At 32.5% G+C, this 13,292-nt stretch overlaps 1 long non-coding RNA gene and 7 other non-coding genes across 8 annotated transcripts in view; all 8 read left to right on the forward strand.

Annotated features, from left to right (window-relative positions):
• The window catches only part of MEG8 (maternally expressed 8, small nucleolar RNA host gene), a 109,465-nt gene that overhangs the window by 56,176 nt on the left and 39,997 nt on the right, over positions 1-13,292 (forward strand). The window contains exons 16-24 of the long non-coding RNA NR_146000.1: positions 1,210-1,292; positions 3,154-3,215; positions 3,691-3,772; positions 4,578-4,648; positions 5,608-5,670; positions 8,140-8,222; positions 9,098-9,182; positions 10,061-10,125; positions 12,438-12,519. This is a non-coding gene — a long non-coding RNA (maternally expressed 8, small nucleolar RNA host gene). The remainder of the gene's footprint in view (positions 1-1,209; positions 1,293-3,153; positions 3,216-3,690; positions 3,773-4,577; positions 4,649-5,607; positions 5,671-8,139; positions 8,223-9,097; positions 9,183-10,060; positions 10,126-12,437; positions 12,520-13,292) is intronic.
• SNORD114-1 (small nucleolar RNA, C/D box 114-1) lies at positions 4,009-4,079 on the forward strand. The gene has a single exon (NR_003193.1). It is a non-coding gene; the product is annotated as a small nucleolar RNA, C/D box 114-1 (small nucleolar RNA).
• On the forward strand, positions 6,032-6,108 carry SNORD114-2 (small nucleolar RNA, C/D box 114-2). The gene has a single exon (NR_003194.1). It is a non-coding gene; the product is annotated as a small nucleolar RNA, C/D box 114-2 (small nucleolar RNA).
• Positions 7,525-7,598, forward strand: SNORD114-3 (small nucleolar RNA, C/D box 114-3). Its single transcript, NR_003195.1, has one exon. It is a non-coding gene; the product is annotated as a small nucleolar RNA, C/D box 114-3 (small nucleolar RNA).
• SNORD114-4 (small nucleolar RNA, C/D box 114-4) lies at positions 8,520-8,623 on the forward strand. Its single transcript, NR_003196.1, has one exon. It is a non-coding gene; the product is annotated as a small nucleolar RNA, C/D box 114-4 (small nucleolar RNA).
• SNORD114-5 (small nucleolar RNA, C/D box 114-5) lies at positions 9,546-9,614 on the forward strand. The gene has a single exon (NR_003197.1). It is a non-coding gene; the product is annotated as a small nucleolar RNA, C/D box 114-5 (small nucleolar RNA).
• Positions 10,416-10,488, forward strand: LOC124903418 (small nucleolar RNA SNORD113/SNORD114 family). Its single transcript, XR_007064396.1, has one exon. It is a non-coding gene; the product is annotated as a small nucleolar RNA SNORD113/SNORD114 family (small nucleolar RNA).
• Positions 11,342-11,412, forward strand: SNORD114-6 (small nucleolar RNA, C/D box 114-6). The gene has a single exon (NR_003198.1). It is a non-coding gene; the product is annotated as a small nucleolar RNA, C/D box 114-6 (small nucleolar RNA).

A 13,292-nucleotide genomic window follows, 5' to 3' on the forward strand; every position in this document is an offset into this window, starting at 1 on the left:
TTTTTAGTAAAGAAGTATATGGATAAATCAAGAAAAGTACGGTATAAATAACAGAATGGTTATTCCTGCTCCAAATATGAGAGTACATAAAATAATAGGAATCATTACTAATACGTTTCTGAAGCACTAAGTCCCAGTAAAATAAATTAATCAAAGCTGACCCTTTGGGTAAGGAGCAGTTAGATAAATGGATGTTAGAGTCCATGTTGTTGTTCTGCTTGAGGGTGTTCATTTTTTTTTTTTTAAAGAAAAGGGCAAAATGTTTACTTTAATTATTGCTTAAATTACTACCTAATTGAGAGAGAGTTTACACATGGATCTATCTTGAGAATATGTCAAATGACCAGTTATAATGAATTCTAATAATCTTCACTATTTAAATTCAGTTCCTCAGTTTAATTTACGAAAGCAAGGAAAATGATCTGAATTTTCTGTCTAATGAGCATGGGATGGGCATTGATATTGTCCAGTTTCTGTGAAGTCACAGACATAATGATTTTATTATAAATGTAAAAAGGAACAAATTAATGTCTCAATCAGTTATTCAAAATAAGGCCAAATCATGGACCAATGAGGGCCAGGTATTATGGAACAAAAAGAGTGATTAATCCAGTTCCATACAACAGCTCTCCAGTATTGTCATTATTTCCATAAACAAAATTGAGGTAGGCTCTTGCATTTTTGGAATGGTGAATATGTTTATATATTTGGATAGTATTTCCCTTTCAGTCTCATTGGTGCAATTTCCTTAAAACACGGAATAGACATGCCTCCATGTGTAACTATTTAACTTTATATGTATGTGTGTATGCACGCATACACAATTGTTGAGAATGTACTCGAATCCAGGATTCAGATTAATTTAATTCTTTCTAGCAAGATTCATGTAGAAAGGAAATTTAACCCTTTCCTAGTTGAGTAGAAGGCAGATAAACAGACAGACGTGTTTAATAGTCACAATTATTATTATTTTGCCTGGTTTTACTTACAGTAGTTAAATTTCATACTTGAGTCAATTAGTCAATGAATCAATGTTGTTCATCTTTTAAATACACGACAAGTACCAGGGTTTATTTCTAATCAATAATTGTTGACTTGAACGGAATTTTAAAAAAATCTAAATCTAGGCTGATCCATTTCTCTCTATCTCTCTCTCTCTCTCTCTCTCTCTTTCTCATCTACCTATTATATTCACCTTGTACTCCACAGAATGAATGCGCAATGATTCAATTATTCTCCAGCGAGGAAGATCATGGTTGTTGTCTGTTTGAGTAATGAGTGTAGAAACCTATGTAAGTAACAAAGTGATTGCTTTTGCTTTAGTGGTTGTTAAGAGAGTTAAGTCTTTCTGGAAAGGAATAAATGACTATGTATACAAATAAAATGAATGAAGTTATATGTGAATCATTCAGCACATCTGTGGTCAGTTAAGGAGAAAAAAGCAAGACCATCTTATTCATTTTAATAGTTAATTATTGAGTTAATTAATGTAAAAATAAATTATTCAATTTTATTTGAGTCACAGTTGATTTTAACCTCCCTCTATAAAGACAGCTTATTCACATTCCAAGATGGAAGATATTGTCAGTGTGGAGTAAAATGGCAGCTTCGTAGTTCTTCATCATCACATCCTTAAAATATGGACAGGGTCAATGAAAGATGATCAAGCCTTGACCAATTAAGAGTATGGGATTAATATGAAGCAGATATGGTCATTAATCTGCTAATCTGAAAAACTGAATCTATCACACAAAGGGATCTATCTTCCTTCCTCTGTGAGAAATGACCTATGAAGAGATGTCAGGGTTGTCTGATTTCTTGTTATTGGGTTTTTGGGATTCATAGGAATTGATTATACTGTTAGTAAATCAATGAAACATGAAATAATGTGTAAATGAATGATGATGAAGAATACTAAATATGGACCAATGGTGGGTTTTTGTTGGGTATGAACCAAGGATTAAGATTAGTTCAAATATGCAGTAGTAGTGTCCATTCCCAAGAGGGATAGTGGTAAATGAGCCCACAGACAATGTGGCAGTACTCATGGTATTTAAGTTTTAAGGTTTTGATAGGTATTGATTATATTATTATAAATATATCGATGATTGAATCAGTGCACTAATGTAGAATAAAAGAAGAAAAGAATCTACTGTGGGCATATAGAATGAAATAATAATTTTTTGTTTCTTCTTTACATCTTAATTTTATTTTAAGTTCTGGGGTATATGTGCAGGATATGCAGGTTTGTTACCTAGGTAAATGTGTGCCATGGTGGTTTGCTGCACCTGTCAATCCATCACTTAGGTATTAAGCCCAGCATGAATTTGCTATTCCAAAAAATATTTCTGAAACACTGACTTTCACTAGGACTTGATGAAGCATTTTTTCCCTTTGGATGAGGAGAATATAGGCAATTTTTGTAATAGTCAGTGTTCTTGTTCAGGTTATAGAGTGAATTCATAGTTTTTCATTTTATTAAAAGAAAAAAGCCATTAAATAAATAAGTAAAAGATTAACCCACTAACTAAACTAAAGAGGGCCAAACATTGACTGTTAAGAAGCCTGGGTTCCTTTTTATTTACCTGCTGTTCAGATATACAAAGAATTTCAAGGCTCTGTCCACTTAGGGTATTTTATACGTAGACAGATGCAAACATTATATTTTAGTACTTAGTTGTTGGTTTTCTTAACCTGTTCATTTTCTTTAGAAATGTGAATGATGATTAATTAATCCATAAGGAAGTACAGACACAAATACATAGATACAGATGTATACAAACTGATGTATACATAAATAAGGGATACCGTAGACCATTGATGAAACTGTGCTGTGAAACAATCATTTAGATTAATTTCATTTAAATGCAGTTCATTTAAAGGTAAACCTAAATTATTGTTATCTATGCGAGAGGGGCATAGAGACAAGTATTCATTATATAGTTCTTTTCCTTGTATTTAGGAATGAGGTTTATTGTACTTACTAGTTTATTAAAACTTAACTTTGAGCTAGTCATAGGCAATCATAAGCTGATGATAAAACTCTGTTACCTATCAAGAATTTCAATTAATCCAGTAACACATGACATCCATAAACAGAAAGAAAAATCACAGTGGTTTCATTCTTTCTAACATCTCTTTTGTACTTCACAGAATGGAGGCGTGATGGCTGATGCAATCATTTTCCACTGATGAAGGTTTTGATGGCCACCTGTGTGAGTAGGGAGGACATAGGCTGCTGTTAGTAATTGTCTTAAGTTCTTAAGTCTAATATCAAGGATTTTGTTAGTAAATTTTGATTTTATTATTATAAAGAGATCAATGACAAATCCAACAAACAAGCATATAAACAAGTAAAAAACGAGACTGAAGCATTGTTCGCCTATGAATAAATGTGATTAGGCAAGAAAAACTACTAATATAAATGGAAAACACTGACGTCTCAAGAAATACATGTATCAAGCATGCTACTTTGTCTAAGGGTCTTAAGACACTGCATATAAGAAATAGTCAATATTATTGTTCTGGATCAGTTCAAGTTCAAGTTTGTTAATTTTTTAAAAGAAAAATATGTAAATATTATCACAGATTAATAAATACCTAAACTACTGTGAAAATGAAAGGGTAATACAAAGGTGACTGAAGACAAGTTATCAGTGTTTATCATCTGGTCTGCTTTGTATTCCTCAGAATGAACAGCCCCATCTGATTTAATCACTGTGCAATGACCGTGAACTGTACAGTTACCTCCGTGTGTCACAGGAAGACTCTTGTGAGTAGTAGTTAAAATTCTTGTTTTGTTTTAAGGGTATTCTCTGTATTCTTAAGAAGTCTAAAATATAATCAAATAAGGTCAAGCATTTTTATTATTCACTACCTAAGTACAAATTTATTCTTAAGACTTCCCTATTCATAGCTATTTATTTTATGATTACAGCACTATTAATGAATTGATTAATCAAAAAACGAATGTAGATAGACATGAATGAAGAAAGATAGAGTCAATCTTGGACCTATGATGATGACTGGTGGCGTATGAGTCATTGACGGTGAATACAGGTCTGGAAGTCTGAGGTCCAATATAATAAAAAATCTAGTCTTCACCTTCTATCCTAGGGATAGACATTAGGAATATTTGAGGATGTTGTTCTTGGTCTTCACGTTCATGCATTTTCCCTCTATTTTTATAATTGGATCAATGAATCAATAAGCAAATATATTTTAACTGCATAAAGATAAAAATAGGCGTTGTCCAATTATGGAAATATATGGTGAAATAAGAAATACTATTCACATTTATTAAAAACACTGAGGTCTTCTTTCTATTAACAAATAAATGACTCAGAGGTATTACTCGCTTGCTGCAGGATGGCATATACAGTAAAAATAATAATAACGTATGTGAGGTCATTTGGGTCAGGACCATGTTCATGGTTGTTTGTTTTCTCAAGAAAAAATAGTTTCACACATACTTACATGACTAATAGAATGAAAGGAGAAATGTGTGGATAAATGGACAGAATATTTCCATCTTTTTATCTTTTTTGCTTTGTACTCTCACAATGAACACCCTCAAGTTGACTTAAGCACCCTTCCATGGTCATGAGGTTTCTGGTTGCCTCTGTGTGTTAGAAGCTTGGAGACCAATGTGAGTATAGTCAAAGTTCTTGTCTTGGTTCTGGGTTTTTAAGGGGTAGTCATTGTTTTATTAAGAACATTACAGATAATCCAAAAGGTTAACCATGGTCCAGGGGTAATTATGGCATTGCCATGAAACATTATGTTGATTATCTAATATTTATAAAATTAAAAATGATTAATGATAAAATCACTGTGAGAGATGATCCTATAGAGAGCTATACAGTATTTCTTGTTCTTAAGTTTTTGTAACATTATTTAATTACTATTAGTGAAAGGATGAATTAATAAATAAACAAATGTAGAAGTAATGGAGAAGAGGAGGGCCAGTCTTCAGTCAATGATGACTCTGCCTCTGTTGAAAATACCATACCCTATAGACAGATTTAAGAATACACAAGGCTCATGTTCTTGGTTTTTGCATTAATGGATTTTGATTCTATTATTATAAATAGATCAATGAAAGAATCAATAAAGCAATAGAAACACACATGAGTAATGAAATCATCGTACAATTATGAAACTATGTAGGGAAACGAGAAGCCATTTATATATATATGGAAAAAGTCTGTTAAGAAATAAATGTTTCAAATGTGTTACCTCTAGCTAAGGATGATATAGAGGATATAAATAATATAGATAGATAAAATAATTAATAAACAAATATAAATAAATCTGAATAAGTGAAGTACTGTCCAATTACAAAAATTGTATGAGTAGATAAAAGAAACTATTCATATATATTGAAAACAATAGAGTCTATTATGAAATAGTCAATATACAAAGAAACGCTCTTGATTTGTGTCAGTGTCAAGATCAATGTTGTTTGTTTTCTTAAAAAATTAATAAATATTAAGTGAAAATTTTAAATGTCTAAATGATTGGCTAAATGAAAGGTGACATGCATAGATCGAGGAAAATAATGTCTCCATTTTTATTTTCTTTATCTGCACTGCTTTGTACTTACAGGCCTTCTGCTGTGATCGCGTTCTCCACAGTTGCCTCTGGGTAGGAGCCTGGACACTAATAGAAGTAAGAGTCAATCTTCTTGTCATATTTTTATATTTGTTTAGGGTAGATTTTAAAAGATTCACTATAAATTTTTAAATAACCAAAGAAAGCCACCCATGACCCAGTGGAAAGTATGTGGTGGACATGAAACATGTTGATTAATCCATATTTATAACACTGTGGATGATTAATGAAAAAAACATGGTAAATGACTTTATAGACTGGTGTTAGGGATACTTAAGTCATCTTGTTCTCAAGGGTTTTGGGATTTTGTTCATAAGCGTTTTAGATAGGTAGATATTTACTTTAATATGATTAGTTTACTGATAAATTAACCAGTAAAGAAATGTAGAGATGAATGAGATAAAAGAGGCCCAAGCTTGGGACCAATGATAATGACTGTTGGGGTATGAGTCAGTGAGGTTGAATAACAGTTTGTATCTGGAAATCTGAGGTCCAACACAATAAAAAATTTAGTCTAATTACTCTGATGGAAATCCAAAATAAAAGGGCAAAATCTTTGTATATTCCTAATATGTATTTGATAGCATTCTTATAAGTAAATCAATGATGGAAGCATTAAATTAATATATAAATCAATAAGTATGATTTATTGTACTATAGATGGTGAAGCTTTATTCAAGTATCAATATATGTGGTCAGGCAAGAAATATTAATAATAAATGTTGAAAACACTATTCCCATTAAGAAATAAGTGGATCAAAGTGTTACCCTTAATGATCATATAGACACTGATAAATAATAGTCAACTTTATTACTGTGGTTCAAACCAAGTGGAGGTTGTATGTTTTGTCTAGAAAATATATAAACTACAAAAAGTTAATAAACACCTAAGTGAATGAGTAAATTAAATGTGGGGAGTAAGATTCAATTAAGATAAAGTCCTAATTTTCTTTTAATCAAATGCTCTGCTTTGTACTCCTTAGAATGGATGCACTGGAGCTGATTTAAACATTCTTTGGTGGTCACAAGATGTATAGCTGCCTCTGTATGTTTGGCGCATGGAAAAAAATATGAGTTTTTGTGGACATACACTCTTTATTTGAAAAGTATGAAATATAATCCAAGAAAGCCAGCCATGGCTCAGTGATAAATATGGAATTGATATGAAACATTATATTGATTAATCACCTTTGAGGATGATTAATAAAAGAGAGAAAGTGATTCTATATAGAGATGCAGGACTATTTCAGGCTCATTCATGATCTAGGTTTTTGTGCTTCATGGTTATTTTATTATCATCAATAAAAAGAAAAAAGAAAAAAATCTTATACTGTCCAAAAAATTAGGGAGACCAGCGCCCAGTGTTCATGTGAGGGGGGACTAGTGTCCATTTCCACCAAGCAGCCTGGAAATGCTCATCCTCACAGGGCATTGGAGAGGTTTCTCAAGAAGCGAGTGCCTCCATGGGGGAAATAATTAACCCCAGATTAAATGCTGCTTCAGACCTAATGGATGGTAAAAACAAGATCCAAAAGGATCAAACTCTTTCCAGGTAGATTAACTGTATCCCAGAACAAAGCTCAAGGACATTTTTAGAAATACGTATATATCCAGCACACAAGCAGGGTAAAATTCACATCTGCAAATTTACCAGGCATTCAAAGGGGCAAAAAATACACAACCCACAATTAAGAGACTAATGAATTAATCAAAACCAACCCAGAACTTATACAGATGTGAGCATTAGCAGAAAAGGACTTGAAGTAGTTATTAGAACTGTCTCCCTGGCCGGGTGTGGTGGCTCATGCCTGTAATCCCAGCACTTTGGGAGGCCGAGGTGGGTGGATCACCTCAGGTCAGGAGTTCAAGACCAGTCTGGCCAAAATGGTGAAACCCCACCTCTACTAAACATGGACCAATGATGACCACTGGTGGCGTTTGAGTCATGGACGATGAATACTACGTGTCTGAAACTCTGAGGTCCAACAGAAAACATAATTGGATAGATATCAGAAATGTGCAAAGATCATATTCTTACTTTGGATTAATAGATTGAGGTTCATCATCAATAGATAAATGATAGAACAATTAAACAAGAATAAATAAAGGTGAATCATTGTTCAATTATGAATATACATGATGATGTAAGAAATATTATCACTAAAAATTTTAAACACAGATGCCCCTTAAAGAAATGGATCATGAGTCCCGCCACTGCACTCCAGCCTGGGCGACAGAGCGAGACTCCGTCTCAAAAAAAAAAAAAAAAAAAAAAAAAAAAAAGAAATGGATCATGAGTATCAGCTCTTTGGCTAAGGTTCATCTAGACTCTTAATAAGTAAGAGTCAGTTTCATTTTCTGGTTAAGTCTCATTTGACATTGTTCCTTTTGTTATGAGAGAAAACATTTCCATTCTGAAAAATTAATCAATATAAAAATAACTGAATAACAGAAATATGGAAAGGATCAATGGAGATAAGGTTTGAATTTTTTCTAAAAGAGTTACCTGCTCTTTGTATTCTGCAGAATGGATGCACTTGAGCCGACCTAAGCATTCATGGTCATGAGATTTGTGGTTGCCACTGTTGGTTAGGAGCATAGAGATCAGTGTGAGTAATAAAGTTCATGTCTTTCTCTAAGAGACTTTTTAAAGGGTATTCATAATATCATGAATGTGTGAAAAATTATCCAAAAGGCCAACCTCAGCCAATGATAAATATGAGATTGGTTGAAACAGTATATTTGCTAGCTCATTTATGACACATTGAGGATAATTCATGAAAGATATATCAAAGTGGCAGATTATATAGAAAGTTGTGGAATATTCTATGCTCTTACTGTTTGGATATTATATTTACATGGGTTATAATATTAATATTCATGAATTAATGCATAAATAACATGTAAATGAGAATTAAGCTAAACAGTCCTAAGCCTGAGCCAGTGATGAAAACTGGTGGCATAGAAGTCAAGGATGCTGAATAATGTGTGTCTAGAACTCTGAGGTTCAATAGAGGAGGAAATATAGTCTATTGCTTTTGAAGTGATCTTATAGTTAGGTTTTGGAAATACAAAAGGGCCATCTTCTTGGATTGTTTTTGTGACTTTTGTTTCTTCTTTAAAATAAATTCATTGATGTAATAATCAATGTACACATGTAAAAAATTAAAGATGAGGAGTGTGAAGCATGTCCACTCAATGTAAATGGTGAGACAACAGAAATCATTAAAATGTATTGAAAATATGAATACCATTTAAAAAACGAACAATTCAAGTGTAATCTTTGACTACGGATGACATAAGCAGTATAGTGAAGTTTCTTATTTTGCATCAGAACAAGTGTGCTGTTGTTCATTTTTTTAAAAGAAAATTGATAAGTATTACCACAATTAATAGATACCTGAATGACTAAGAGAAGGGTCAAATGAATGAATCCGTGAAAAATATTTCAATCCTGTTACCTTCTCTGCTTTGCACTTCCCAGAATGGACACACCTGGGCTGGCAGAACATCTTGCCTTGATCTGGAGCCCCATGTCTGCCCCTCTGTAGAGGTGCACATGGGCCAATGTGAGTTAACAGTAAAATTATTTTTTGCTTTTGCTTATTTGTTTAGGATATTCAGTGTAATATTTAAAAAATATTATATATTAATATAATCAAGGAAGGCCAGCTATGTCCCAAGGATACGTATGGACTTGACATGAAATATTGTGTAGATTAATAGATATTTTAAACAATGAACATGATGAATGAAGGAAGTATTAATATACTAATTGAAGCAAATGATTATGTAGACAGATACTAGGAATACTTAAGGATCTTGTCCTTAAAACTTGGTGATCCAGAGGTATTTATGTTATTGTTAGTGAACTAATGAATCATTAGGAAACAGCTTACAAATAAAAGGAGAAAAAGAGGGCCAATTCTGGCTGGATTGATGATGACCACTGGTGGCCTATGAGTCATACAATGAATACGTGTCTAGAACTCTGAGGTCCATCACAAGCAGTATCTAGCCTAGTCCCTCTGTCTGAAAAACTCCTGTAGACAGATGTCAGGGAAATACAAGAACCTTGTTCTTTTTCTTTATGTTTATGAATTTTAAAAATATTATATTATTAAAATAGCAACGAAGAATAAACAAACATGTATAAATGAATATAGATGAGGATGAAGTATTGTTTATTGTTGAAATGTGTAGTAAAGAGAAACAATACTAATATAAATTGAAATGGTTGGATAATTAATGGACCAAGTGTAATACATCTTTGACTAAGGATCATATAGATAGCAGTAAGTAATGGTTAGTTGCAAGTTTCACATTTGTTGTATTAAGAAAAAATTAATAAATACTCAAATGACTATGTAAATGAATGGTGAAAAATATAGATTAATGTAAAGAATATTCAATTTTTTAATCATCTTCTCTGCTTTGCACTTTTCAGGATGGATGCAATGAGCTGATCATTTTGCTGTGATCAAGGCTATGTTGCCTCTGTGTTAGGCCAATGTGAGTAATGGTTCTTGTCTTGGTTTAGGTTGTTTAATGGTATTCCTGATATTATTAAAAATTATTTAATATAATAAAAAGTTAATTGGCTTAATGACAATGTGCAACATTGAGGTTAATTAATGAAAGAGATGTAGTCTCTGTGGGAAATTATTGTATAGACAAATGTAAGGATTCTTCAAATATCTTGTTCTTGGGTTTTCAAAATCATGTATTCATTTTATTATCAAAGAAGAAATGATTTATTCAATAAATATTTAGAAATGAATGATGAAAGAGAGACCCAACTATGAATCAATGGTGACCACTGGTGGCATATAAGTCATGGATGATGAATATGAGAAGAAAAGAATCTAGGTTTTTGCTTCTGTTGGAAATGATCCTGTAGACAATGTCAGAAACATACAAAGATCATTTTCTTATCTTGGGGTCATAGATTTAGGTTTATTATTACTAATATATGAATGATAGAACCATTAAACAAATATAAACAGATTACAAGTAGAGATTTAAGCTACAGTGTCCAGCTATGAATATAGGAGATGAGATAAATTATTACTAAAAATAGGAGATACTGATTCCTCTTATCAAAGAAATGGATCACAGTGTTTCCTCTTTGACTAAGGATTATATAGAATCTAACAAGTAAGAGTCAGTTTTATTTTCTTGGTCAGAGATTGTTTCTTCTGTTAAGAGAGAAAGACACCTATAATATGAAAAATTAGTAAATACCCAAATCACTGAATAAATGCTATGCAGAAAGGCAGGATCAACAGAGATTAGGTCTCAATGTTTTTAGTCTGCTCTGTACTCCTCAGAATGGACAGACCCGGGCTGATTTTGGTGTTCTGTGGCTATGAGATCAGTGGTTGCCTCCATGTGTTAGGAACATGGAGACTGACGTAATAGTCAAACTTCTTGTCTCAGTTTCAGTGTTCTTCTGAAGGGTATGCAGTAAGTGCAAAATGTAATCAGTGACTGCCAACCATTACCCAAATGTAAAAAATGTAATTATTATATATGAAGCCTTGAGGTCAGTTGATCTACAGGCAGATGTTAGAAATATTATTATATTTCTGCTTATTCCATAGGCAGATGTTAGAAATATTCAAGAATCTTGTCTTCTAGTTTTTGTGATTCTTGGTATTTATTTTAGTATTATTAGATTTTTGATGTATTATTCAATGATATGAATGAAGAAAATGAGAGCCAAGCCTGGATCAATGATGTCCACTGGTGGCGTATAAATCATATTTGGTGAATATATGTCTGGAACTCTGAGGTCCAAGAAGGAAGGAATCTAGGTTATTGCCTCTTTTAGAAATAATCCTATAGATTATTTAAGAATATATAAGGATCTTATTTGGCCTTTTTAAATGAGTTTTTACTCTATCATAATAAATTGATCAATAAAAGGATCAACATATGGATACAAATACATAAAGGTAAATAGGGTGAAGCATCATCAAATTATGGAAAGATGTGGTGGCAAGAGAATCCACGTGTATGTACACTGAAGACACTGAATGTCATTAAAAAACCAATGGTTCAGGCTGTTACACCTGGTTAAAAATCATGCAGGTAACATAAATAATAGCCTGTATTCTGTATTAGAAATAGCAAAGATCCGATTGTGTTTCGTAGCTATCGATTATATCTTCATAAGTTGATTAGTGCACAAATAACCAAAGAAATGTATGAATACACGAAGAAAAATGGAACCAAGTATGGACTAAGTATGTCCTCTATAAAGTTGCTCTTAGTTAGAAACAAATTGTAGGATTTTACTAGGGTCGGATAGGCATTTCTGTTCTAGATTTCTGAAAATGAAAAGATTACTCATTTTGTTGAAAAGGAATAGCTGGTTGGAAAAATTAATTCGTTTGTTCCTGAATTATAAACTCATTTAGACTAATAATGAATGAGTTAATAGATAAAAAGATCAAGAACTGACCACTCATGAGACTGTGTTATAAAGCCAGGAATGAGAAGAAGCTGATTCTGTAAAGCAAAGCTAACTTGCAGAGAATAGCAAGACGATTACATGTTTGAGTGGCGGCACTGGGGCCAATATGTCCCATAGTCAGATGTTTTTCTTAATGCAGGTGATGGATTCAAGAATGTTCACTATTGATGTAAAATTCATAACTTAAATAATTCAATAAATAAAAGGAGAGTGAATCTAATCTAAGGATGGGGAGTGTCGTGAACCAATGTTTGAGATGAACCTAACCCTGATCATTTCATATTTATTCAGACACAGCCTGAATCTTGTTGTTTCTTACCTGTAACATCTACTTTGTACTTCGCAGGGTTGATGTTCATGGGTGATTGATCATCCTGTAGCGACGGTGGTATTGACTGTTCCCCAGAGGACAAGGAGTGTGTTCTTATGTAAGTCATAGTTGACATTCTTGTTTTTGATTGGGTAGTTTGCCTGTTCATTGATGTTCATAGTACTATAGAAGGTAGATAAATGGCCACATACCTAAAGAAAATCAAAGGGGACAAAAAGTGAGAGTCTGTTATAAACTAAGGATTATAATTAATGTAATTCAGTACAACTGTGGACAATTTTGAAAAGATAAAGATTGATGTCATTTTAGTCATTTTATAGATAAACTAAAAATGGGACATTTTTAATATCCCATTTTAGCATTTTTCATAGTTTACACAAACGTTCCTATATTGCTAGATAGCCTAGTCTGTGAACTCCCTGAGGAAGGAGCACATGTGAAGTAAATACTTGTCATTATCATAGTGGGTTCAAGTGGAATATTCTTCCGGCTTATTGTTACATCTTCATAGACTATATAATTTAAACAAAACGGTTCAAGCATGGACCATGACATAACTGAAATCAAATCTAGACAAACATGATTATTATTATATTTCACAACATTTTTGTAGTTCGTTACAAAAAAAGACCTAGCCTATTATATTACCTTGTCTATTATCTCTCTTGGAAATGAACCCATTGACAGATATTAAGACTATTCAAGAAACTTGCTTAGGGGCTATGGTGGATTGTTAACACATACTAATTTTATTATCAGTGGATAAGTATGCATAAACATCTTGTAAGTTAATATAGATACATATGTCTAAGTGTGGTCTCATTTTGAGTATATTTACTGGAACAAGAATTATTATGACATGTCTTAAAT

The sequence above is a fragment of the Homo sapiens genome, chromosome 14 (genome assembly GCF_000001405.40).
Source record: "Homo sapiens chromosome 14, GRCh38.p14 Primary Assembly".
Classification (NCBI taxonomy): Eukaryota; Metazoa; Chordata; class Mammalia; order Primates; family Hominidae; genus Homo; species Homo sapiens.